At 42.0% G+C, this 23,915-nt stretch overlaps 1 protein-coding gene across 2 annotated transcripts in view, besides 1 other annotated feature; it reads right to left on the reverse strand.

The window, feature by feature from the left end:
• The window catches only part of NEDD9 (neural precursor cell expressed, developmentally down-regulated 9), a 199,051-nt gene that overhangs the window by 62,625 nt on the left and 112,511 nt on the right, over positions 1-23,915 (reverse strand). The gene's annotated exons all lie outside the window — the stretch shown is intronic.
• Positions 12,690-12,869: an enhancer, noted in NCBI's record as "active region_23980". NCBI's record gives its function as "activates an Ori minimal core promoter by ATAC-STARR-seq in GM12878 lymphoblastoid cells {active_cell/tissue: GM12878}" and the evidence as "EXISTENCE:reporter gene assay evidence [ECO:0000049][PMID:35858748]".

Genomic DNA, 23,915 nt, shown 5'->3' on the forward strand with positions numbered 1-23,915 from the left:
GGAGCATTCCACATGGTTTAGTTTTTTTTTTTCTTTTTAAATTTAACAAGGATATCCATCTGGAAAATGGATGTTTAAAAACTTTCACTATGCCAAACCACTTCTTTTCAGTGCAGACAGTATTTTTTTCGGGTGGGGGAGCGGGCAGGGATGGGGATGGATGTTTAAATAGCAGTCATACTGAGCTATACTGCTAACACAATGATAATGTTAATAGCAAAGGATAAAAGAATGTCATGGACCCAGAATTCCAAGAGGGAGCTTACAGAACATTCCAGCAAAATGGACTGAATGTAAGATATCAACCTAAGTGCCATTTCTGTACTGGCTCGGGGCCTGGCACAGGGCAGCCGGGAAGAGGCACAACTTGCCTCAGGTTGAGAGAGTTCCTGGGCTGCTTCCATCTCTCTCATCCTCCCTGACAGGCTCAGTCCACTGCTGTCATGGGTTCCAGTGACAGGCAAAGGCAGATGGATCCCAGGGCCCAGGAATGAACCATCACGACGTGGTCCCCCAGGCCCCGGGCCCCACCAGTTACCTGGCAGGGCAGTACGGCCACTGTCCTGTGGCCTATCATAGAAGAATCAAGATCTCATGCCAGCATTTTTGCTGAAGCCTCCCTGACAGGCTGCGGTTTAACCAATGAAGCCTGCCTCGAATTTTCACAGTGGCATTTGAAGCTCGAGTGTGGACTGATTTTGCTCCTGCTTTTGGGCTTTGCTCAGCTTACCAAAAATGAGAGGTTTTTCACTTCCCACCCACAGAAAACAAGATGGCAGCCCGGGAAACTCTCCCTCTCCCTTGCAGTATTCTATTTCTTTAAAACAAAGAAACCTCATTTCTTTCAAACAGAGCTTAGACATCTCTTACAAAGGAAAGGCTGCAAAGGCTGGGCCAGTCGACATGTTTCCTATCCAACAGGCTCTCGTTGCCTCCAGTTACGTGACTTAGGATGCAGGAGTTCAGACGCATCAGAATGAACGACATGTGACTGTTCATGGCTCCAGGGCTTCAGACGACTGCCCTGCAACCTCCCACATCAAGATAAAGGCTGCTTGTGAAGGGACACTCTAATGTGGCTCTTCCCTGCCCAGCCAAACAAGATTTGTGCTCCCAACTCCCTTGCCTAGAAGTCCAATCTTCCCATCTCCCCTTGAAAACACTGCCACATGAAATGAAAGTTTAAAACAGTAACCAAGTAAAGAGAGCATCATGATCTCTCCCTCCTTCTGAATTCCTCTTTGGAATGTCTTTTACTTTGCTCTTCCAGTCCATTCTTTCCTCCCTGCATACTCAGCTCAAGTCTGTCCTCCTAAAATTGACGCCAGCCTCTCTAGATGAGTCCTTTTTCCTGAATTTGTACTATGCTCAAAGTCAGTTCTGCTAGTTCAACACGGAGTCCTGGTGCCATTGTCTGCCATGTATGAATCCCTAATGCTGCCCCGCCTTTCATAACACTTGACCTTAGAAGTAGGCGATCCACTATTTGACCCAAGCGATAGAAATTTGTTTTTATTGGGACATAATTCACCTACATAAAATTCACAATTTTAAAGTGTACTCTTCGGTGTTTTATAGGATAGTCACAGAGCTATAGCAACATCATCACTATCTAATTCCAGAACTTTTTCATCACTCCAGAAAGAAACACCATGCCCATCAGCCATCACTCCCCATTTCCCCCCAGGCCCCAGACCTCTGGCAAATACTCATCTCATTTCTGTTTGGCAATAGCAATTTATAACTGACTTCATGCATTTTTATTTTCAGCCTGATTTCAAAGGCTAACACAAACACGAGATTGGCTATTTACATTTTTGTATGTATTTCAAAAGATGACTTCAGTCGCATGAACACATGTATACATTTAACACATGCAAGGGAACATGGAGTGATAACAGCCAAAAAATGGTAATAAAATAGAAAAGAAAAGCAAAATTTGGGGTGTGTTGGTGATGCTTTAGAAGGCTTTTAGAAAGAAAGGAGAAAGAAGGTCCCATGAAGATGGGAGATTATTCCTTTGTAGGCTTTCCACTGGGACACATCTATTTTTCAGATTATTTTGATTTAGGCCAGGTATATTATCTTCATTTTTAAGGGTTTTTTTAAAACTCATAAAGAGTTAAAAAAAGCTCTTCATTTTAAAGAGTTTTTTAACTCTTGAAAGACAATTTTTGGGATATAGAGCTGAAAGTTTCAGGGTGCCATTTTTCTATAAGATCTTCCCAAAAGAAACATTTAAAAAGATGACATATATACCACTGCTTACTTAAAAAAAATAAAAACAATAGATTTGAGAAGGAAAAAAAAAAGAAAGAAAGAAAGGAAAGCCTTTACCATGTAGAAGTCATGTGCCAGATACAGCTAAGTGCGCCATCTCTTCTCCGTAATGGTGAATCAGGGAGGGGTTAGTAATCCTACATATGGAACCTGATGCTCAGGGAGTGACTGCCTTGCTCAGGATCACAGCAAGGATCTAACCAAGGCCCACCTGGCTTCAAACCTCATGCTTATAACCTTGTTACTGCCTTTGAACAAAATTGCAGTTCTATATATTCTCAAACTGGTTCCCCAAAAGTATCCTAATAAGAAAATTGATGTTGTACAGAAAACGGCAATAGGCATTACATCTTCTGGTCTTGGAGAACAGCTGGACAGGGAAGGGGCTTGGCTGTTCTGCTGGCTGCTCAGGGTCCTGGCTTCTGTGGCCCTCCATTCTTCATTGTAGAAGGCATCGGAGCCTTTGGCCTGACACGTCCCCAAGGCCAGGCCCATCCAGAATGGTCAAGCACTGATTGGCACTAAGCCCCCAGCACACCAGTGCTACCCTGATCTCACTTGGTTCTGGAAACTTGCTCGATGGGAAACTGAGGCCCCACCTTGGCCCTGGGATGGCTCTGCTACCTGCACACGGCTCTCCCTACAGTACTGGTATCTGAGGACTTGATGAAGTGTCAGCTGTCTCCTTTGCCAGCTACCTGCCCTCTCCTCCATCTGATCATTGAATAGTGATGTTCCTTAGGCCCTGCCTTCTCCTTCTCTTCTCTCTCCCCAGAGTCCACAGTCATGCCAGCTATTCATATGCCAGTGACTCACCAGTTTTCATCCCCATGATGGGTAATTTCATATGTCAACGTGACTGGGCTGCAATGCCCACGTATTTGGTCAGACATTATTTTGGATGTTTCTGCGAGGGTTTTTTGGGAGGAGACTTACATTTAAACCAATGGACTTTGAGTAAAGCAGATTGCCCTTCATAATGTTGGTGGGCCTCATCCAATCAGTTGAAGGCCTAAATAAAACAAATATATATTGAGTCCAATAGGGTTAAGTTTGACTGTGAGTAACAGAAAAACCCTAGATGAATGAGTTTAAAAAGAAGTTAATTTTCTTCTTATTTGTTAGAATTCCTGGGTTGGTTCAGGGCTCTATAAAGTCTGTAGAGACCCAGGTTTCTCCTCTCTTGTGCTTTGAAATCCTCAGTACAAGGTCCAAGGTGGCTCAAATTCTAGACATCACTTCTAAATAACATCTTCCAGCCAGCAGGAAAGAAGAATTAGGTGAAAAAAGTGCCTCCTCCCTGAAAGGTGCTCCTAGAACCTCCATTCTCATCCCATTAGCCAGATCTTGGTCACATGGTCACAGCTAGCTGCAAGGGATGCTGGGAGGTGTAGTCTCTATTCTAGGTGGTCATTTCATGACTAAGGAAGAGGAGAATGGGTATTAGAGGATGACTGCTAGTGTTGGCCACAAGTACCTACTAGGTAAATATGTACAGTAGATGCTCCATAACTGTTTGATAAATGTACATGTGCCAGGTTTTTTCTGCCTGTTTGGATAGACCTCTGCTCATGGTAGGTAGTCATGCTAGGGTACTGGGCAATAGAGTGCATTTCCCTCTTCCTGCCCAGAGGTTATGTTCTGTTGGCTCGCGTGGGCTTCCTTCTGGCTCCTGTGTCTGGATCTGCCCTCCTGGTACACACGTGGTGAGTGTGGAGATCATGGTCAAGGGGCCCAGAGATTCCTGCCACAGGCAGGTCCTTTCCAGCTTTCTCCAGCCCACAGCAGTGCCTGGACCATGGCTGTCTGGGTCCTGAAGTGGGCGGTGAGCTCCCCCACTGCCTGTCACTCCACAGGAACAGATGTGCAAATGGCTGGCTGTGGCCAAAGACACAGTCAGACATCCACCTCAGGAGCACAAGTTCCAGAAAGAGGGAGGGAGAGAGACGTTGAGACTAGAGGAGGAATGAGCCTCTGCTGGTCTTTCTCCCCACTGGCCCTTGTCCTTGGAGGTCAAAGTCAGTGTAAAGTCATAAAATTTTGTGAGATGCTGGCCCTGGGTGAGAGTTAGAGCCCCCATGACAAGCACAGTAGCCAAAACCTAAATCTAATTTGACATACCATGAAAATGAGGCAATTGTATGTTGGCCTTGCTGGAATCCCCATGTCACCCTCCATTAATTTCTTTGTCAAGGTAGTTTCCAAAATCTCTTTTCCTCAGCATCATAAATGCTAAGGGAAAACATCCTCAAGTGTTCTTAACACACAGCAGGGGAGAGAGGCTGCTAACTGCCCAGAATCATGTCCTGAATCTACCGAAGCAGTCTTGCTGCCCGTCCTACGACCAGAGAGTTCTCTGGTGTCCCTTTGCCGGCATACCATTCTCTGCTGACATTCACCCAGTGGGAATCGCTCCTCCCCAGGTCCCCAGGAGACACCTGTAAGCTGAGTCCAGACCTGGCTTTTGAGCTTGACAATGACTGTTCCTTTGGGATAAAGGAGCTGGAAATGTACTGTGGCTTAGGCGCAGAGCCCCACATCCCGTCTCTCATTCCTTTACACTTGGCCACTCCAGGATGTTTCAAAGTTCCCATTTGCAAATCAATTTAACAAGGTCCCAGGCTGAACCACTGATTAACAACATTAAAATGATTCTTTTTACTGACTTCGGGATAAAACTACACACCTGCAAATTCCTTACTACCTTTAATTATGAACTTTGAGCCAATGTTCCATATTTTAATTTCTCTAGGTACTGGGCCTGGATTTTCCACCTTTGAAAATGTCTCCAGAATTTTTCTGCTGTAAGGAGACTTAAAGAGATGATGGGGTATAGGATAAGTGGCTGTTTAATTTGAGCTTTAAAGAAATATAACCTACAATGGAAAGAATACAAAAATGTTGTTGTATAAAAACTGGCTGGCTGTTAGTTCATTCTCTTGACCTTAATTCTCTCAACATGGAAAAGTCAATTCAAATGTAACCAATAGGGTCAACCCCATACTAACATTTCAGGAAAGATAGTGGTTCTAGGAATCAGTAAATGTGTTTTGCTGTCGGGGTGGTGGCTGTTTTGATTAAATCACCTTTGTCTCTTGTCCTCTACTAATGAGATACCTATGGTGGAGACATTTCAGAGAGCTTAATATTAAACAGATAGGGATACTGGAGTCCAGGCTGGTTAGGTGAGGAGCATAAATCCATACTGCAGAGGAAATTGACAACCTCCCCTGTGCAGAAGTTATGTCCTGAGGCATCTTCCTCGGTCACGGTCATGGTTTTCTCTCTCCTCTCTAAGGTGAGCGGGACTCACATCAGGATCTCAGTTTTGGTTGTGAGAAAGCTGAGGCCCACTCATTACCTGTAGGAGTGATTTGCCAAGGCGGCAGGGCAGGTCAGACCCGATTCCAGCTTTCCACGTTCCAGTCCAGTTCCTCCCCCTCACTAGGCTCTTTTCTAGTGACCCACGAAAGCTTCTGGCCTCAGACACAGTGTTCAACCACTTCAGGGATTTAGAATCAGAGCTACAAGAGGAAAACAAAGCAAAACAAGGAGCTGGCAAGGTTTAGCTGGAGAATATTGTCCTTTTTCTGGTGTTTCTAAAAACAAATGACCCTTTGTGCTCTAGCTGCCCTCAGAGCCTTTGACTAATTTCTCTGTGGCTCAGTGCCAGGGATGGCTGAATGCTGGGGATTCTGTGCTGCTTCATGCTTTGGCATGACTCTATGTATGTGTGTGTGGGGGGGGATGGTGAGTGATGGGCAAAATTCTCCCCTCACCTTCTGCTTGCACTTCCCATCAATGCAAAAGCATATCTGGGTGCTTTCGCTCCACCTCAGGGTTGAAGGCTGTGTCGATTCCTGTCACACACAGATTATATTTTGCTGTCCCATGTGAATCAGAGCTTGTGTTAATATCTTCTAGCTGGGCGCTGTAGTGCTCTCTCAGCCAGATCTTCATTTCATGTCTGTCCTGGGGCTCTTAGCTATGCCAGCAGAGCCCTCTGGAGAGCTGACTGGTATTCTCATTTTCTACCAGCCTGAGCATGTCATGAACTTTCTGGCTCACTGGGAGCTGAGAATACAGATGAACATAAAAATTGAGAAGAGTTATTGGAGGGTCTAAGAGGATGCCAGTCAAGCAAAAGAATAGTAGTTTCCTATTGCAATATCGGAACCAGCTCTCACGTCCCGATTTCACAGTAACTCATGTATTATCTCTGCTTATTTTGAATGCTTCAGCAAGATCTATGTTAATAGAATTCTCTATGGCTCTCCATCCTTTAAACAAATTAACACAGCCCACAGCTACCTCCCATGCCTCCTGGAAGCACCCCCTTCCATGGTCAAAGAAACCCTGTAGAGAGCAGAAAGGAGCTGGTAGGAAATAGACATCTTAGGTCCATGTCACTTACACTATTTAGTTATATAGAGCCTTCTGCACAAGCAAAGCATTATTATCCTAATCAAAGTTGAAAATGACAAATAGAGGACAGAAATGAATTCCTAGCCTGCAGTTTCATTTTCCCAGAAAAAAAAAACAACTCTGTCTCTTAAATATAGGGTTTGTTTGTGAGTAAATTGGTTGTATGCCCCAGGGCCTAACTATTCTAAGAAAATACATACTTTACATATTCTAAAAATAAATAAATAAAAATTAGACACAGAAATGGAAGTGATAGGAATGTATTTTTTTTTTCTCCTAAACTTCAAACAAGAAATCATTCTTTTGGGAAAATTGGGCTTGTGCTAGATGTTTTTAATGCTTTCCTGGCAGTTGCCTAAGAACAAAACATTATCTTGTGGGAGAGGAGTAGGGGCACGAGAATGTTTAAATATGTCTTAATGATCTAGGGGTCTTACAAACATCTGAGTCATAAAAAAGTCAGGTCATAGTTTTTTAAGAACATCTAGACAAGGATCAGGGTACGGTCAAAAGAAAACGCTTGGATTTTAGTCCTAACAGGTTCCCATCTCTTTGGCACTTTCATGAATGTGCGCAGTCGTTGAACTTACAACCCATGTTGATAAAAAAGAGAAAGTATCACTTTGCAGGATTGCAAAGGAGGAAAAGATATAATGAAATCAGACAAGGCCTCCCCGCTTGTAGGAATCTGGCCTCCTCCATTGAGGTTGCGGGGAGTAAGTGTACTGTAGCAGTTAATATTTCTGAAGGTAAAATTTGATCGGGGATATGTCTCATTCTTCACTTTTATTTCCTCTTGCTTGAAAAGTCATACATCTCCAGGAAAATTGCTGGAGAATATTTGCCTTTTCTTTCCCTGCACAACCCCGTGCCCCAGGACAAACTCACACCGCATGGGAATGAAAACCTGAACTTTTATGTTAACTTATTTCAAATGTTCAAAACTAGTTTCCACGTTTAAATTTTATGGTGTTTTTTGAAATGTAAAATTTTAAGTGTGGGAAACTATGGTATCATTTTGGAATTTAAATCTTCTGTGGGAACATTATAAAAACTATTACCAAAGTCCATTCCTTCTTCTGGACATCACAGGCAGCAAGACAAATATACTTTAAGTGCATATGTGAATGCAACATCAGGATTCTATAAAAAGAATAAAATAGATCCAGCACCCACCCTCTAAGACAATAATGACTCAGGCAGTGATATTATAGACAGGCAGACAAACAAGGATACAGTGAGAAGGAGTTGCACACGTCTGGTCATTTTGTACTGGTATTTTTTTTTAAATGAATTTTCATTTGGAGCCACCAATTAATATTATGGCATCTTCAAGCTTATGCTAAAAGCATGAAATTACAGATAAAATACACGATGGCCAATTACATTTGAATTTCAGATAAACTATGAGCAACTTTTTAGTAGAAGTACATGCCATGAAATATTTGGGTTATATTTGTGCAAAAATGTATTTGTTGTTTATCTGAAACTTTTCTTTCTTTTTTTTTTCTGAGATGGAGTCTCGCTCTGTCACCCAGGCTGGAGTACAGTGGCATGATCTCAGCTCACTGCAATCTCTGCCTCCTGGGCTCAAGCAATTCTTCTGCCTCAAACTCCTGAGTAGCTGGGATTACAGGTGTGTGCCACCATGCCCGGCTAATTTTTGTATTTTTAGTAGAGATGGGGTTTCGCCATATTGGCCAGGCTGGTCTTGAACTCCCAACCTCATGATCTGCCCACCTCAGCCTCCCGGGATTACAGGTGTGAGCCACCAAGCCTGGCTGTTTTTCTGAAGCTGAAGCTTAAATATAACTGGGAGCCCTGTATTTTTAAAAATTAAATATTTCTATTTTTAAACTTTTATTTCAATAATTTTTGGGGAACAGGTAGTTTTTGGTTACATAAATACATTCTTTGGTGGTGATTTCTGAGATTTTGCTGCACCTGTCACCCAAACAGTGTAAACTGTACCTAAAACCCTGTATTTTTATTTGCTAAATCTGACCATCTTACATGCAGAGAAATAGTTACTGCCATGACAGCCATCTGGAGCAAGAGGAGAAATCCCACTGGGCCCCAAAGGTGGTGGTAACTTACTGCTAATTAGAAAACTCTCACAGCATTTCTAGCTGCTCTCTCCCCATGGAGAGAGACCCTCTTCCCAGCTACATTCTACATCCTCTCTTAGAAGTCGGAGTGGGTGGAATGAAAGTGGCATTGGTGTTTTGGTGTGATCTTAAAGTTGCCACCTGCGATTATTCCTATCACCTGAGCTTTCACAAGTGGTATTTCAGTTCAACAAATATTTATTAAGTACATGCTGCTTTGCAGAACAATATGTTGGGTTGAGTCTCTTTTCTCAAGGAGTTCAGAGCCCCAAAGGGAAGACTAGCATGTCTACAGCTGATGCTATTCAAGGCAAAGTGTGGAAAAATAGAGAAAATGCAACAGGATTCATAGAGTGAGACAAATAAGTTCTGTGAGGAGTAGGAGATGAGAGAAGGGTTCATGGAGAAATGAGTGGATGAATGGGATTGGCCAGAAAGGAAGAATCTTATGGGCAGAGATACAAATCAACAGCTAACCATGCTGAGAGGACAGAACCACCAAAGAGATGGAAGTAAGAATGTGTGGTCGGAGGGATTCTCTGTTCCACCCCAGAAGGGGGTGATTCATTCATTCATTTGTTTATTCAGTAGATATTTATTGAATTCCAATGCATAAATTAATGTAAAACTGCAATTTTGTAAAGAACTACGTAAAAGAAATTCGCGTTGCCATGATAGGTGGTGTATGAGGCATGATCTGGTGAGGGAGGTTGGCCAGGGCCTTGTGAGAGAGGTAAGGACTGAGGAGAATAGAATTAGTCTGGTGACAAGAGGTGGTGGGGGCCTGGGAGGAGAAGATCTAAGGTAGCTGAAACAGCATGTGTGAAGGCCCCGTGGCAGAAGGAAGCTTGGGGCATCCAAGGAAATGAAAGCAAGCTTGGCGCATGGTGGGATGTTAGGCTTGAGAGGCAGAAAATTCCTTAACAGACCCCAAAAGGCCTTGCATGGATCCACATAGCCGCTGGAGCCATGCGAGGCCTTTTGAGATCTGTTAAGGATTTTTCCCTTAATCCCTGAGCACTATGGAATCACTTTATGTATTTAAGCAGGAGTGTAACAAATTAGCTTTCAGTGTGAAGGAATCCCTCTGGCTGCATAGGAGGGGAGAGATTGGAAGGGAACCAGAGAGCTATAAGGAAACTGGTTAGGAGGCTACTGCAGAAATTTGGGCAGAAGTTGAAGGGACGCTGTATTCTCCTGATCTCCCTGTATCTCTCCTAATACTATTTTTTTGCTACGGAGGAATACAGGAGTAACACCACTAGGCCCCCATCAGCATGCCCACAGAGCATCTGGGTCTTGGCCCAGCAAAGTGAAAAGAATTTCCCAAGTCACTATGCATGGTTTTTGCTAGAGGCTGGTAGGGCATGGGGCATCATAACTGAACAACAGCAACTCTCTGGAGCCCTGAGGGGATATTTCAAGCCTCAGAGAGTTAGGGGAATGTAGGCAGATTCACAAGCCACCTGCCTTGGTGCTTCAGAACCACCTTTCCCATGCCAAGCACCTGCCAAGGCAGGGCCCCCATCTGGCTGGAATCTTCCCGGCGAGACCTTCTCCCATTGGTTCCTCTCCTGCCAGGTGTATGTGCAGCAGGAGGGCAGGATATTTCTGTAATATTTGGCAAACTTGTGGAAACACTCCAGCCCACTCTAACACCACAGAGGCGCCTCTGCTCTTGTTGGCTGTATTCACCAAACAATTACCAAGAAGCGTAGGTGGTATCTCTTTCACAGAATTTATTAGTATTTAATTTTTATTTATTTATTTTTTTGAGACAGGTCTCACTCTGTCACCCAGGCTAGAGTGTGGACCTTCCGGCTCAAGTGATCCTCCCACCTCAGCCTCCTGAGTAGCTGGGACTACAGGTGCGTGCCACCGTGCTTGGCTAATTCTTATATTTGTTTTTGTAGAGACAGGGTTTCGCCATGTTGCCCAGGTTGGTCTCAAACTCCTGGCCTCAAGCGATTCTCCTGCTTTGACCTCCCAAAGTGCTGGGATTACAGGTGTGAGCCACCCTGCCCGGTCGAATTCTGATATACTTATTACAAACCCTGGATTCAATAGAGCCTTTGCAGTAGGCTGTTTGTATCAGTAGATGTGAATTGATTTAGGTGACATTCTGTCCTTTGTGCAAACTCAGAGCAGCCCCATGTGGATGGCATATTTGTAGGCTGACCCACTCTCACTCACCTTTCAACTTGACTGCAGGCCAAGCCTCTCTTAGAGAATCATTTTTCAACCTCCAATGCTCATGAATGCCAGAAAACAGGGTAACATTTATAAGGATTGTAGGTCACTTTGGCACTCAGGCCCTGGAAAAATGTAAAGTATGGCCATTGGACTCTTGGTCCCAGACCAATACTCTTCTGGGGGACCATCGATCACCTGCATCAGATCCTTCAAATGGTGGAGCCAGGGTTCCTCAACTTTGGCATGATTGACATTCTGGGCTGGATAATTCTTTGCTGTTGGAGAGTATCCTGTGCATTTCAGGATGTTTCACAACAGCCGTGGCCTGCACACATTAGATGCCAGTAGCACCCACCACCTTCAGTTTTGACAGCCAAAAATATCTCTACACATTGGCAAATAACCCCTGGGAGGCAAAATTGCCCCTAGTTGGGTGTCCCTGGTGTAGTCCTCCATCCTCATTGATCTAATGGGAAGACAAGGATCTGGAGAGGGAAGAGAGGGAAGAGTGCCTTCTGAGGGCCCGTGAGTACATGGAGGCAACCCTGGAATTAGCCTAGTCCAGGTCTGTCTAACAGCCCCCCAAATAGACCATGTGTTCTGACTTTGCTTCTTTTTGTCAGTGTTCCCATTCTAGACACTGCTCCTTACTTGTTCCTTTTTGTTCTAATTTTTTCTGGGGTCCCCTTTCTCCCGAGGTCAACCTGGAAACACTGAGATTTGCAAAGTTGAATTCCAATGCAGCAGAAGAGCCTGGCCCAGGCAAAACTCTAAACAAGATGAGGGCCGAGGCTTCTCATTTCTGCCTTCCAGCAGCCCCGCAGAGTGACAGAAACAATGTAGATTCTGTGTGTGTGTGTGTGTGTGTGTGTGTGTGTGTGTGCAGTACGGCATCAAAGGTTATCTTGTCTCATATCTTGTCTCTTTTTATTTCTTGTCTCTAGTTATTTGTCCCCTACTCATAAGCACATGTCCTTATGTCCATCTCTTGTTTTTTGAAACTGACTCTGAAGTTTTCATTTACAGTCAAATATAAATAACTGATCATAATCGCAAATGATCACCTTCCACAGAGTTGGAATATCCCCAAAGAGGCAAAGGCCAGAAGAAAGAGGACTCTATTCTGTTACAGCCATGGAATTGCACTCTTGAAGCACACAATTATGGACTCTTTTCTAAATGAACCAAAGTGCAAACAGAAGGTAGAGAAACTCAAATTTTATCACAGCATCCCATAGCATACTTAAGAGTTGATTTCCCATTGTAACTGCATTTTTACAGGGCTCAGAGCATTCAGTTATGGATGTTCTGAGCCTGCCATGTGCTTACCAGGGAGGCTCAGGGGCTGAACCAGGCCACCAAGGCTTTTACATCAACATTTTTCTCAAGAGCTGAGCCCCAGCACCCTGGCTGGCTGGCTCTTCTATCAAAGGTGTGAATGCTCTTCTCTGAATTTTGCTTAGATTAAGGTTCACTTAATGCTGTAACATGTTTGGTATCAAGAATTTTAAAGGAAGTGGTTTTGTGGGTTTTAATGCATTTTTTGCATTTAAATTTCAGGTCACTCAGCTATTGGTCTGAAGAAGCCTTTTTTTTTTCTATTTGGCCTTCTTTGGAAGCCAATTTATCGTCTGAGTTCTTCTCCTGTAATCTGAACTACAGGTTGCAGGTTCTGAACTACCTGAAGCCATGCAAGTCATAACACATCATTACTGACTTCTAGCTCTTTCCTTCAAGTGAGTGTGAAGCTGAGAGGGGTCATTAAACTCCCCCAGAGGGTAATGTCCATTGGGTTGAAGGACACAAAGCCATAAACTTGTCAGAACTGATTGCACCTCAAAGCAAGGTAATGCTTGTCAAGAGCTGGGGGAAAGGTTGTTTATTACTTCACAGGTCTCTGGCATTGCAGATGTTATTTCTGTCCTAAGAAGAGCAAGAGGAGCTGCAATATGAAACCAGAAAACAGACACACTTCATTTCTCTCTGCTGTTGGTGTTTTCTGGGGAGACCAGTGGAGTCACTCTGGGCAGGACTGAGGGGGACCTGGGTATATGACCAAGCCCTGGACAGTTCATGTGAAGGAGCAGGACCCAGCTTCCAGGTCAGGAGGGAAACATGCCTGACCTTTGTGCTGCTCTGCCAGGTGAGGTGTCCTTTCCTCTCCTCACCCAATGGCTGCAGGCAGGCTGAGAAGCCTTGCAAAACAAGACCTTCTGGCAGCAGGAGGGCTCTTTCTACTGCCTTTTCGCTGATAACCTTGCAGGGAGTGTTGTTTTGGCAAGTGAAGGTATCTTGGAGTGTACCCTCCACCTGGAGCCTGCTTACTCAGAAATATTCTCCAGTTTACTTAAGCTTAAAGACCTTTCGCTTCCAAAGGCCAACCTGGAAGGGGGCAGCAAGGGCTAATCTCAAGTTTTTAACACAGCAAATGATTTCGGATTCCTGTAAATTAAGCATTGGATTGTATCCTTGGAAACAGCAGGACCCTGCAAAGGCTTGAAGTAATAGGGTTGACTTTGAAGATGGGTTCTATCCTGTTCCCTAATACCAACATTACCAAGGAGTACTACTGTGAATAATTTTATTAGTATGTGTAATAATTTAATCTGAGTGCTCTAGGCATGTGTTATTATTACCAAAATTGACTGCTTATACAGTGGAATTTTGTTTGTATGCTCTCAATTTGAAGCAAAAGAAAAAACCACCTTACAAAAACAAATAATACACAGACAAGTATAGTCTGAAACATATTCATTCACTTCCCTTGGAGTTAGAGAAACAAATTGTATCTTTAGGAACAATAGATATAATTTCTAATTTTCCTATTAACAGAGGTAGGTATTGTTTTAAGATAAAGCAACCAAATACTAATATTAATTAGCAATTTTAACGTGTAGGATGAGGATATTGAGAATGATGCCAATACTGTCAAACCTTTTGAGAGATCAGATTAGATGGTTGTCTGCATGGTATGGTACGAGTAGTGCAGTGCTTGACTGCGCCCTTAACACACACACACACACACACACACAGACACACACCCCACCACAGAAACAAAGATCCTTCTCCATCTGCTAGTCTCAGTGTCAGAAATCGTACCATTAGGGATTCATTCACTTGGCTTATAGCATATAGCCTTTCTTTTAAAATACAAATAACCCAAAAAACGGAAATTAAATAACTGGTAGTCACTTACATTATAGAAATAATTGTTTTTAATATTCTTCCAGGCCTAGCATCATTGGCCATATATAAAAAAGGGTTCAAAAATATATGTTGGTATACAGACAAAAATAAACAGAGTAGAGAATGTACATTGAGAAGCTCCCGGAAGGCCTTGCAAACCTCTGTCCTAGCACACCAAAGATTTCCTGTGATTAAGAACACTCAGCATTACAGTGAGGTGGTTAAAAACATGGTCTTTAGAATCAGGTGGAATTGGTTTCAAATCCAGAGTCTGTCACATTAGGGTGTGTGCCTTTGGGAAAATTAATCATTCTGAGTCTCGACTTGCCCATCTGCAAAATGGGGTTAATAGTATATATTTCATAAGATGTTGTCACAATAGACAGAGATGATGAATGTAAAGCTACAGAGTAAGTGTTCATGAAATGATGAAGATCACAAAGATGGTGATGAAGAAGGTGATGACTTCTCATCCCACCCGTTGTCACTCCAGTTCTGGGCATTGAGTGAATGGGCTTGAATTAAATGACTTACAGAAGTGGTAGAAGTTTAGCAACATGTATGCTGGGTCCTAAGTAACTTGAAGATCCTGGACATCTGGGGTAAGGATGGTATTGAAGAGGAAGATGATATAAAAAGTGTGTTAGTCACAGAAATAGTCACACACTATTTCTCAGTTTTCTGTGGGTGAGTCTTCACACCTACTATTAACCATTCTCAGTGCTGAAAGGATGTGTGATATTGTGTGTGAGCATGTATGTGTGAGCACGTGTGTGAGCCTGTGTGTGTGTGTGTGTGTGTGTGTGTTGTAAAAGAATTCTTCCTGGGATTCATGCTCCATAATTCTCCACATTTGATCATGTCCTGGTTGGCTCACTAGGGACAAAGAATGACAGGTTTTGAGTTGTGTTTTAATGACTATAAAAACGAAGCCATTTTGGAAAGTAAGCTCACATGTGGCACAAGATGTTTTGTGGCTCCCAGCAGTTTTCTTTTTGCAAGATTTGAGAGGACTGAGCATCCCTGAGTACCAGAGCCGTGATGATTGGTAATAATAACGATAATGATGAAAATGTACATTGGTACGCATCTTTTCCGATTATCAAGCGTTTTCACATTCAGTGTCTCAGGTGGTTTACATAACAACTCCATAACATAAGCTAAGTCAGGGAAGTTATTAACTCCATTTTCTATATGGCAAAACTGAGTCTTTGGAGGATAAGTAACTTTCTCCCTGGTATTCTGCAGAACCACAATTAGAACCTATGTCTTTGCATTCTTAGTGTATGTTAAAATCAGTCATAGAGGTAAAACAATAATGCTTAATACAATAACTATCCTCCCATATTTCTGTTGATTTTCATTAGCATATTTATGTTTCAATTCATTCATTCAACATAAATTGAGCTCTTTGTCATGTGCAAGTCATTAGAAACACGAAGATAAATATGGCACAATCATTGCTCTCAAAGAACAATAGAGTTGTGTCTTACCTGTTATAAACTATACCAAGTTTATGCTTTTAACTTTTCTAATTCTAGTGAGTATGACTACCTTTATGGGAACAATCAGAGAGATTATATGGATGCGGATCATGGAAAATCCAGAATATATGGCTGTTGTGACAACTTGAACCTTGTTTTTACCTTATTTTCTCTCTTCCCCTTGTTTTTGCTCTGCTAAAATTCCCAAACAACTAAAAGTCTGTGTGCAGTGAAAGAGCACTTCGGCCCAGCGGTGAAGCTTGCAGACCACCAGACAGTCATTATTGCTATGATGTGTTAGATTCTCGTCTTACCCTGAGGATGTCAAATTTGGAACTCAGCTCCTTGGAATAATTATTCCTAGTGGAAACCTCCACCTTAAACACCTTTCAAATTCCTTAACTTTATCTGACTTTGGAGAATTTCTTTTAAAGAAACAGAAAAATTGAGAGCCTTATGTATTTTGGAATATGCCCCAGTGTAGAAAATTGATGCCAAACATGTGCCCGGACCTGACTTGCAAAGGGCTGTGGTTTAATGAGACCCTTTGCTTTGCAGCCTGCTGGCCCAGCTTCTATTTGCTGAGAGTTGATGGTACAAAAGCTCTAGCTCTCAGATCGCCAGGGAAGCAGAGGAGGAAATTAGCAAGAAACTTCCAAAAAGAAGGCACAAAGAGCCTTTGCTTTAAAGACTTACTTTCTCGGCAATGTGAAAATTTTGGCAGCTGCGTTAGTGACAGATTGGTGGCAACATTCTACTGGCCTAGCTGAACATTTGCTCTCCTTACCACCCCATACCCTCCCAGACTGTGCAATCAAGAGCATGCGGTCTAAATTCCCTTCCTGTCCTAAGGTGCCAACACACAACCCACACTTTGGAGAGTAGAAGAGGGAAAACATAGGCTTTGTTCACTTCCCAGATTCTCTGTGTGAAGCAAGTTTAGGAATTTATGTGTGGTTGGAACGGGGAAATATGACTATTCTGGAAGCTGTATATCAGTGTGGCTCCACATTTCCAATTTGGCTTCCCTATCCCAGAATAGGGTTCTTAGAGAAAAGCATTTCCATCCTCACATCTCAGAAAGCCAAAATAGAAAAGTCTGAGTTAAACACAGTATACATTCATTAAAAGAATAAAATAAGTTAAAGCTCAGTTAAATACATGGAAAATGGGTATGTGGATGAACAGAGCTATTCATGGAATTCAGGTAAATTATGACATCTGCTTAATGTGAAAATCACAAATAAAATCAGATGACATTTAAAATGCAAAATCATACATTAAAGTGTAAATTCTGGGCCAAATTCTCACCCAATACAATTTGATGGAAATTGTCTTATAGAAAATGAGTTATTCAATTTTTTTCCCATTTCCTGATGGTGAAAATCTGGGGTAACCAGTGTTTTAACAGGAAATCTAAAGGAAATGAACAATATGACCTTGGCTAATTTTTAATTCTGATGATTTCATGACATGCATAGTAATTGCATTTTTGGTTTTGTTTGACTTTATTTCAAAGCTATTAAATATACGTTCGATGCAGGGGATATGTTCCAGATAAACCATTGTTTGAATGTTAAAATTCATTTAAATCAGATAACCAGGCAGGATTTTGTAGCTTTTTTGTGTGTGTAAGGGGGAGGATTCTGATTAAATGTGAAACAACTCAAAGAGGTTCAAGAGTCTGGCCTTCATGATTAATAGTCTGCAGTAGATATTAGAAATCCAGACAGACTGAAGGCAAAATGCCTTCTCTTGGTAGACAGACTGTATTCTAACCTCCAAGGACTCTGCATATTTAGCCACTCTCAATTCAACTGCCTTTGCCAGCCCAGGCTTCATTGGATTAGAAAGTAGTGGAAAAAAACCCTCCCAGGAGTGATCGTCTAGAATTCCTTTAGTGTTTAATCTGTCTGGCGCATGGATGGCCCTCTTGAACTGCAGGGAGCACATGGCAGAGAGAAACGTCTTGGGCTGGCTGGCTTGTGCTTGGAAAGTGAAAGCAAGCTGTTATTTTCGCCTTCCCAATTCACATTCCTGGCCTTTGACATCATGAGGTCATTGTTTGGTTGGCTGGAAGGGTGTCACACGTGGATAGGTGCCATGAGGTCACATGTGCATAGGTGCCATTTTTGTCTGGGACATTTACACAGGGTACTTATAACCTCTTTTGGTAGACTGAGCCCTGTTGCTCTCAAGAAAGGAAGTTTGTTCTTAGTCCTAACCCAAATTTTAATGTATGCTTCTGTAAGCCTACATCCTTGCAAACCTTAGTCAAGATAGAGACCATTTCTCTCACAATAATCCATGTAGATATCAGAGCATCTCTTAGTCTTCTTAGGTTCAAGTCTAGACTTGAGCTTATTAGCTATCTGAACACGGGCATATTCCTTAATTCCTCTATGTCTCAGTGTCCTCATCTTTAAAATAGGGACAGTGGTAGAGCCTCCTTCATGGAAGAAGGGAAACGGCAACCATCAGAGTTCCCCGGATGTGGAAGGCAGGTCTGGGGCAAGGAAGGAGGGTCAGCCTCTGCTGCCATTCTTGTAGATGGAGAAGGGGCTTTGCAACCGGCTACCTCCCCACTGGAAATGCAGATTGAGCCCAGGGGCTGGGCAGTGGCGAGAGGGGGCCCAACAAAAGCTGGACTCCCATCACCTCCTCGAGGTGACAGGAGCATGCCCAGGCTGCAGTCTGAGTGAGATGGCGCCCCCAGAGGAAGAATCAGGGCTCTGTGAGGAACCACATGCCCCAGCATCCCGCGCTCATAGGTCACTGCTTGGGGAACCACCAGGGATAGTGGAGTGGTGTCTATAAAGATTGAGCAAGAGAAGGGGTCCCCAAGAATTCAATCTCTAGCCCAGTTGTTCCTTGAGTAAGAAAGCAGGAGGCAGATATTTAGGAACGAATCAAACCTCAAGGAACACAGCATCCATGGGTTCTTTTTGCAAATAAAAAGTGTGTCTTGAAAACCAATCCAGCCAAATAAAAAATGAATCAAAATAAAGAACTCAGAAACTGAGAGGCTGTGGATTCGTTTAAAACAGAACTGAGACCAAACAATTTGGGGAGTAAGGCTGAAAAAAAGAATTTAAAGGTCACAAGTAAGTATTTTAATATAACTAATCATACTGGTAAGAGAAGAAAAGAGGTTGAAAAAAATATGTTAACTGACTTCCTCATCTTTCCTGTCAAGGAGTCAACAGTGAAAAGCACAGTTTAAAAATAACAATAACTTCAGCTCTTTTAAGTTTTTCTGTTTGTTTGTTTGTTTCTTTTTTAAGAGATGGGGGTCTTACTGTATTGCCCAGGCTGGTCTCAAACTCCTAGGCTCAAGTGATCCTCTAGCCTTGCCTTCCCAAAGTGCTGGGGTTACAGGCGTAAGCCACTGCTCCCAGCCAGCTCTATAGGTTTTGCACATTTTCTTAAATTATAGGGACCTTTTAAGAACTAATATCTCTAGCAGTGAAGAAATGTCCAAAGTTCATCAGATTCTTCAGTTTTCAGATTTTTTAATCTGTTAATTCAAGGAAAATTAAATCAAATACTTCAAGTTTAAAATTGCATGAGTATCCTCTCATTATTCTAAATGTCAATATGAAACTACGGGATAATGAATCCTGGGTTATTTCACAGAAGAACTTCTTTGTGTCTACCAGGCTTTATATCTGTTATATGGACAAGGAGAGATAAGTGGAAAAACGCTCACCAAATATCAGCAATGGTTATTTCTGTGTGGTTTCAGGTGAAGATTTCAGATGAGTTTTAAATTTTCATTTTTTTCTGGTTTTCTCGATGACTTGAATATTGCTACAGTATTTTCTGGACTTTAACTTATTTTGTTCTTTCAATAAATCTATGCTTAAAGTTTTCCAGCATGTATGGATGGAAGCACTTTTCTCTATCCTGAAAGAACAATTGGATCAATTAATGTATTGTCCTTATGACTAGTAATATTGGCAGAAAAATTGTTCAAACTAAGACTGGTCACCTTTTTACAGAAGAAAAGGCAATTCTTTTGGAGGCAATTCTTTTGGAAGGAAGTACTTTTGGAGAGCAAGGAATCAGGGGAGAGGTGTCATTGGTACAGATGAAATGTGTTTATTAAATAATGCCCTAAAGATAACTGTATTTACATGTTTATCACAGCACTATTCACAATAAGAAGGATATGTGATAAACTTAAGTGTCTATCAATGGAGGATTAGGTAAAGAAAATGTGGTATATAAATGCAATGGAATACTCTTCAGCCATAAAAAAGAATAAAATCATGTCTTTTGCAGCAAAATGGATGGAACTGAGGCCATTATCTTAAGTGAAACAAGCCAGACACAGAGAGTCAAATACCACATGTTCTCACTCATAAGTGGGAGCTAAAAAAACCATGTATGCATGGACATAGAGAGTAGAATGATTGACAATGGAGACTTGGAAGGGAGAGGGGGTGGGAAGGGAGGGGACCAAGAGAAATTACTTAATGGGTACAATGTATATTATTCAAGTGATGGATAGGCTAAAGCCCTGACTTGTCCTCAGTGCAATCTATGCATGTAACAAATTTGCTCTTGGACCCCATACATTTATACAATTAATAAACAAATAATGCCCTAAAGCAGTGGTTCTCACCTGTGGGTGATTTTGCACCCCTCCCCCCTCACTTACTCCAGGGAACATTTTTCCATATCTGGAGACATTTTGGATTGTCAAACTTGGGTGGATTCGGGGGAGGGGGAGACATAGTGCTATTGGCATCTAGTAGCATCTGGGGATGCTGCCAAACGTATTACAATGCACAGGGCAACTCCACAATAAATAATTATTTGTCCCCAGGTGTTAATAGTGCTGATGCTGAGAAACCCTGCCCCAAACTCTGGAAAAAGAAGCCATTATATACACAATTCCCTTACAAGAGTGAGCCTGGAAGCAGATCCTATTTTAGCAACGAAAGCTAAGATGCTAAATTTATTCCTTCTGGCCACTGGAATTTTTAGCCAGGTGTATTTATTATTATTAAAAAAAACTTTTCTGCTTTTTATTGGTCCTTAGTCTTCAACTACTGTATGGGTTTATATTTGTCACCTAGGAATGGGAAGTTGTAACCAGTGGTCTGAGTCTAAGCCAGGATAGTTGTAGTTTCCAATGGTACCTTCAGTGACCTTGATGTAGGGGTCTCTGATCTCAACCCTACTGGCTGAACAAGCCAAGTCAGGCTATTTGAAGTCTCTGGAAAACCAGCCAATGGTCCGGATCAATTGCATTCAGCAAGAAGTTAATGCAAGAAGACTGGGCTCATCTTGGTGTGTGTGTAGGGAATGAATTACCCTCCTCTCATTCACTTTAAGGACCATTTATTGCTGTGAATCAGGAGCAAAGTATCAATAGATGGGAGTGAGGATTGCTTCTGTCAGGTAGAGATTTTGCTTTTAGCCCAAGAGTTTTTATAGCACCATGTCAAAGAGAATCTGCACATGCTGGAATTACCTGCTGGCTTATGATTACAAACATCCCTCATATGAAAATCTCAGCATTTCTGGCTGCTGCCTTCAATCGCTTTTTCTGAAATAGGTATCCCTTGATGTCGACTATTTGATTTCAGCCAGTCGTTTCTCTCTGGCAGTGCTCCCTGCAAATGTGTCCTTTCAAGAAAACAAAACCTGCAAGTGGCTTGTAATGTACCATGACCTTATCATGTGAAGGACAAATGGCTCTTGTGCTTATTAGATAGCAGATGAACTGATGAACTGAATTCTTGGTCTGAAGCTTTGATAAGGTCAGATGTCTTTGAAAAAAAAAAAAAAACCACCACTTCCTTGGCTGCAGGGATGTAGTTCCCAAGTATCTTTTCATAATGCCTTAAGATTTGTACTTAGACTTTATTTTACATGGCTTAAGAAATGGTTTATTAGTAAAATAGAATATTTTGATATTAGAAGAGAAAGCTGGGCTTTTAAGGCTGTTGGAGACATTGGTTTTCAACTAAATACATATGCTGATTGCTGCATATATTTTCAACAACAATCCTAGGGAACAAGGGTATGGGCAATTCATTAGACATAGCACTAATCAGCTAGTAAGAAAAAAAAATTAGGAAGCTATTGTCAATGCCTGTGGAGATACGGGTCTTGTCTGGGGGAGAAAAATGGCCTTTCTCCAGTTCTCCAATAAACTGTTTAAAAAATGGCCTTTCTCCAGTTCTCCAATAAACTAATTACCTTTGAATATTATATCTAAGGCTTATAATAGAAAGTTTATTTCTAAGTATTATGCCGTAAGAATAGATTGAATTTAAGTAGAGAAAAGTAAAAGGGGGCACCAAACTGACCCTCAGGCTTCACCCTACAACAGATTTAGACCACAGCAGAGTTGGGCCTCAGCTTTGCTGGCTCTGAAACTGGATGTCAGTGAGTCAAGGTAAAAACGGCATCTATAATATACTTTTATTTTGTTTCAGACAGGGCCCCACTCTGTCGCCCAGGCTGGAGTGCAGTGGCGCGATCTCGGCTTGCTGCAGCCTCAACTGCCCAGGCTCAGGCGATTCTCCCTCCTTACTCTCCCTAGTAGCTGGGACTACAGGCATGCGCCACCGAGACTGCATAACTTTTGTATTGCTTTTTAATAGAGTCGGGGTTTCGCCATGTTACCTAGGCTGGTCTCAAATTCCTGGGCTCAAGTGATCTTGTCTTGGCCTCCCAAAGTGCTGGGATTACAGGCGGGAGCCACCACTCCTGGCTGAAGTCAGTATACTTATAGAAGCATTCATTGAAATACAAGAAGAATGAAAGAACAGATATATAGAATAAGACTGAGTCAAAATTGTTGGCTTTTAATGATAATAAAGAATTTACCAGCTGGGTGCAGTGGCTCGTGCCTGTAATCCCAGCACTTTGGGAGGCCGAAGCGGGCAGATCACCTGAGGTCAGGAGTTTGAGACCAGCCTGGCCACCATGGTGAAACCCTGTCTCTACTAAAAATACAAAAATTAGCCTGGCGTGATGGCAGGCACCTGTAATCCCAGCTACTTGGGAGGCTGAGGCAGGAGAATCACTTGAACCCAGGAGGCGGAGGTTGCAGTGAGCCGAGATTGGGCCACTGCACTCCAGCCTGGGCAACAAGAACGAAGCTCCATCACACACACACACACACACAGACACACACACACACACACACACACAACCAATATTTGGGGAAAAAGGGCTAAATTTATATTTATTTCAACTGGCCCAAATGGGAGAACTATATCATATCCTAGGTTTTAACCTGGTTTCAGAGGTATTTAAATCAGCTTGAAATTAGGAAGAGGGATTTTACTTCTCTGTAAGAAATTTCAGTAAAAATGAAAATTAAAATGGGAATTTGTGAACTTAGAGAGGTCAAGTATCTGAAATTTCTTATTACGTAAAAGTGCTATTTTCCTCTCGTCTTAAAACATTTAACAAAAAACCCAAACGTTTGAGGTTAACTGCAATTCAGTGAAGTTAAGCCATTCACTACAAACAAAGTACCTGTTAAAGGTTTTGGGCTGGAAGTGAGTGATGGCAGTGCAAGGTAAACCTTCTAAGAACTTCTGCTCCTTCAGTTCTGCTCTGGACTTTGTCTGGTTAGGTGACAGGTCATTCTAGCTGCTGTGACAATAAATTTCTGACTTTCTCTGGTGTCTTAGGCTATTTAGGGAGCTGCAGAGAATTTGGGGATGAGGATTGAGAGAACTATAGCTATGCTATTTGTTTTGGTTTTCTTTTGTAGAGCGTGGAAAACCTTTATTTTACAACATTATTACCAGATTTATAGTCAATCTAGTTTATGGACTATTTCATTCACTAAACACTAATATCTAAGTTGAGATTGGCAGAGGGGATATCACAGACCTCCTTGGGTATCTGAATAAAGTATGACTTTTCTTTCCAGAAAATGCATACACAAAATTGCATACAAACTTAAATACAGGTTTCCAATTGCCCTTATGGGGCCATGCACTCAATTAAATAACTCTTTTTTTTTCTTTCTGGTGATTTCTTTCCTTTTTAATTCATACAAAATAGATATATGTAGTTTCTGGGTTGTTTCGGTCTGTCATTATTTCCAAAGATAAATTTAGTTTGTAATAGTAAAATGGATCACTTATTAATTGAGTTGTGCCAGGTTAAATACCCAAGGGTGTTCTGCAGAATAATCTCTTACTTCCTCTGAATTAAACCTAGAGTAAACCATTAAAAAACAAACAAACAAACAAACAAACAA

The sequence above is a fragment of the Homo sapiens genome, chromosome 6 (genome assembly GCF_000001405.40).
Source record: "Homo sapiens chromosome 6, GRCh38.p14 Primary Assembly".
In the NCBI taxonomy this organism is placed as follows: domain Eukaryota; kingdom Metazoa; phylum Chordata; class Mammalia; order Primates; family Hominidae; genus Homo; species Homo sapiens.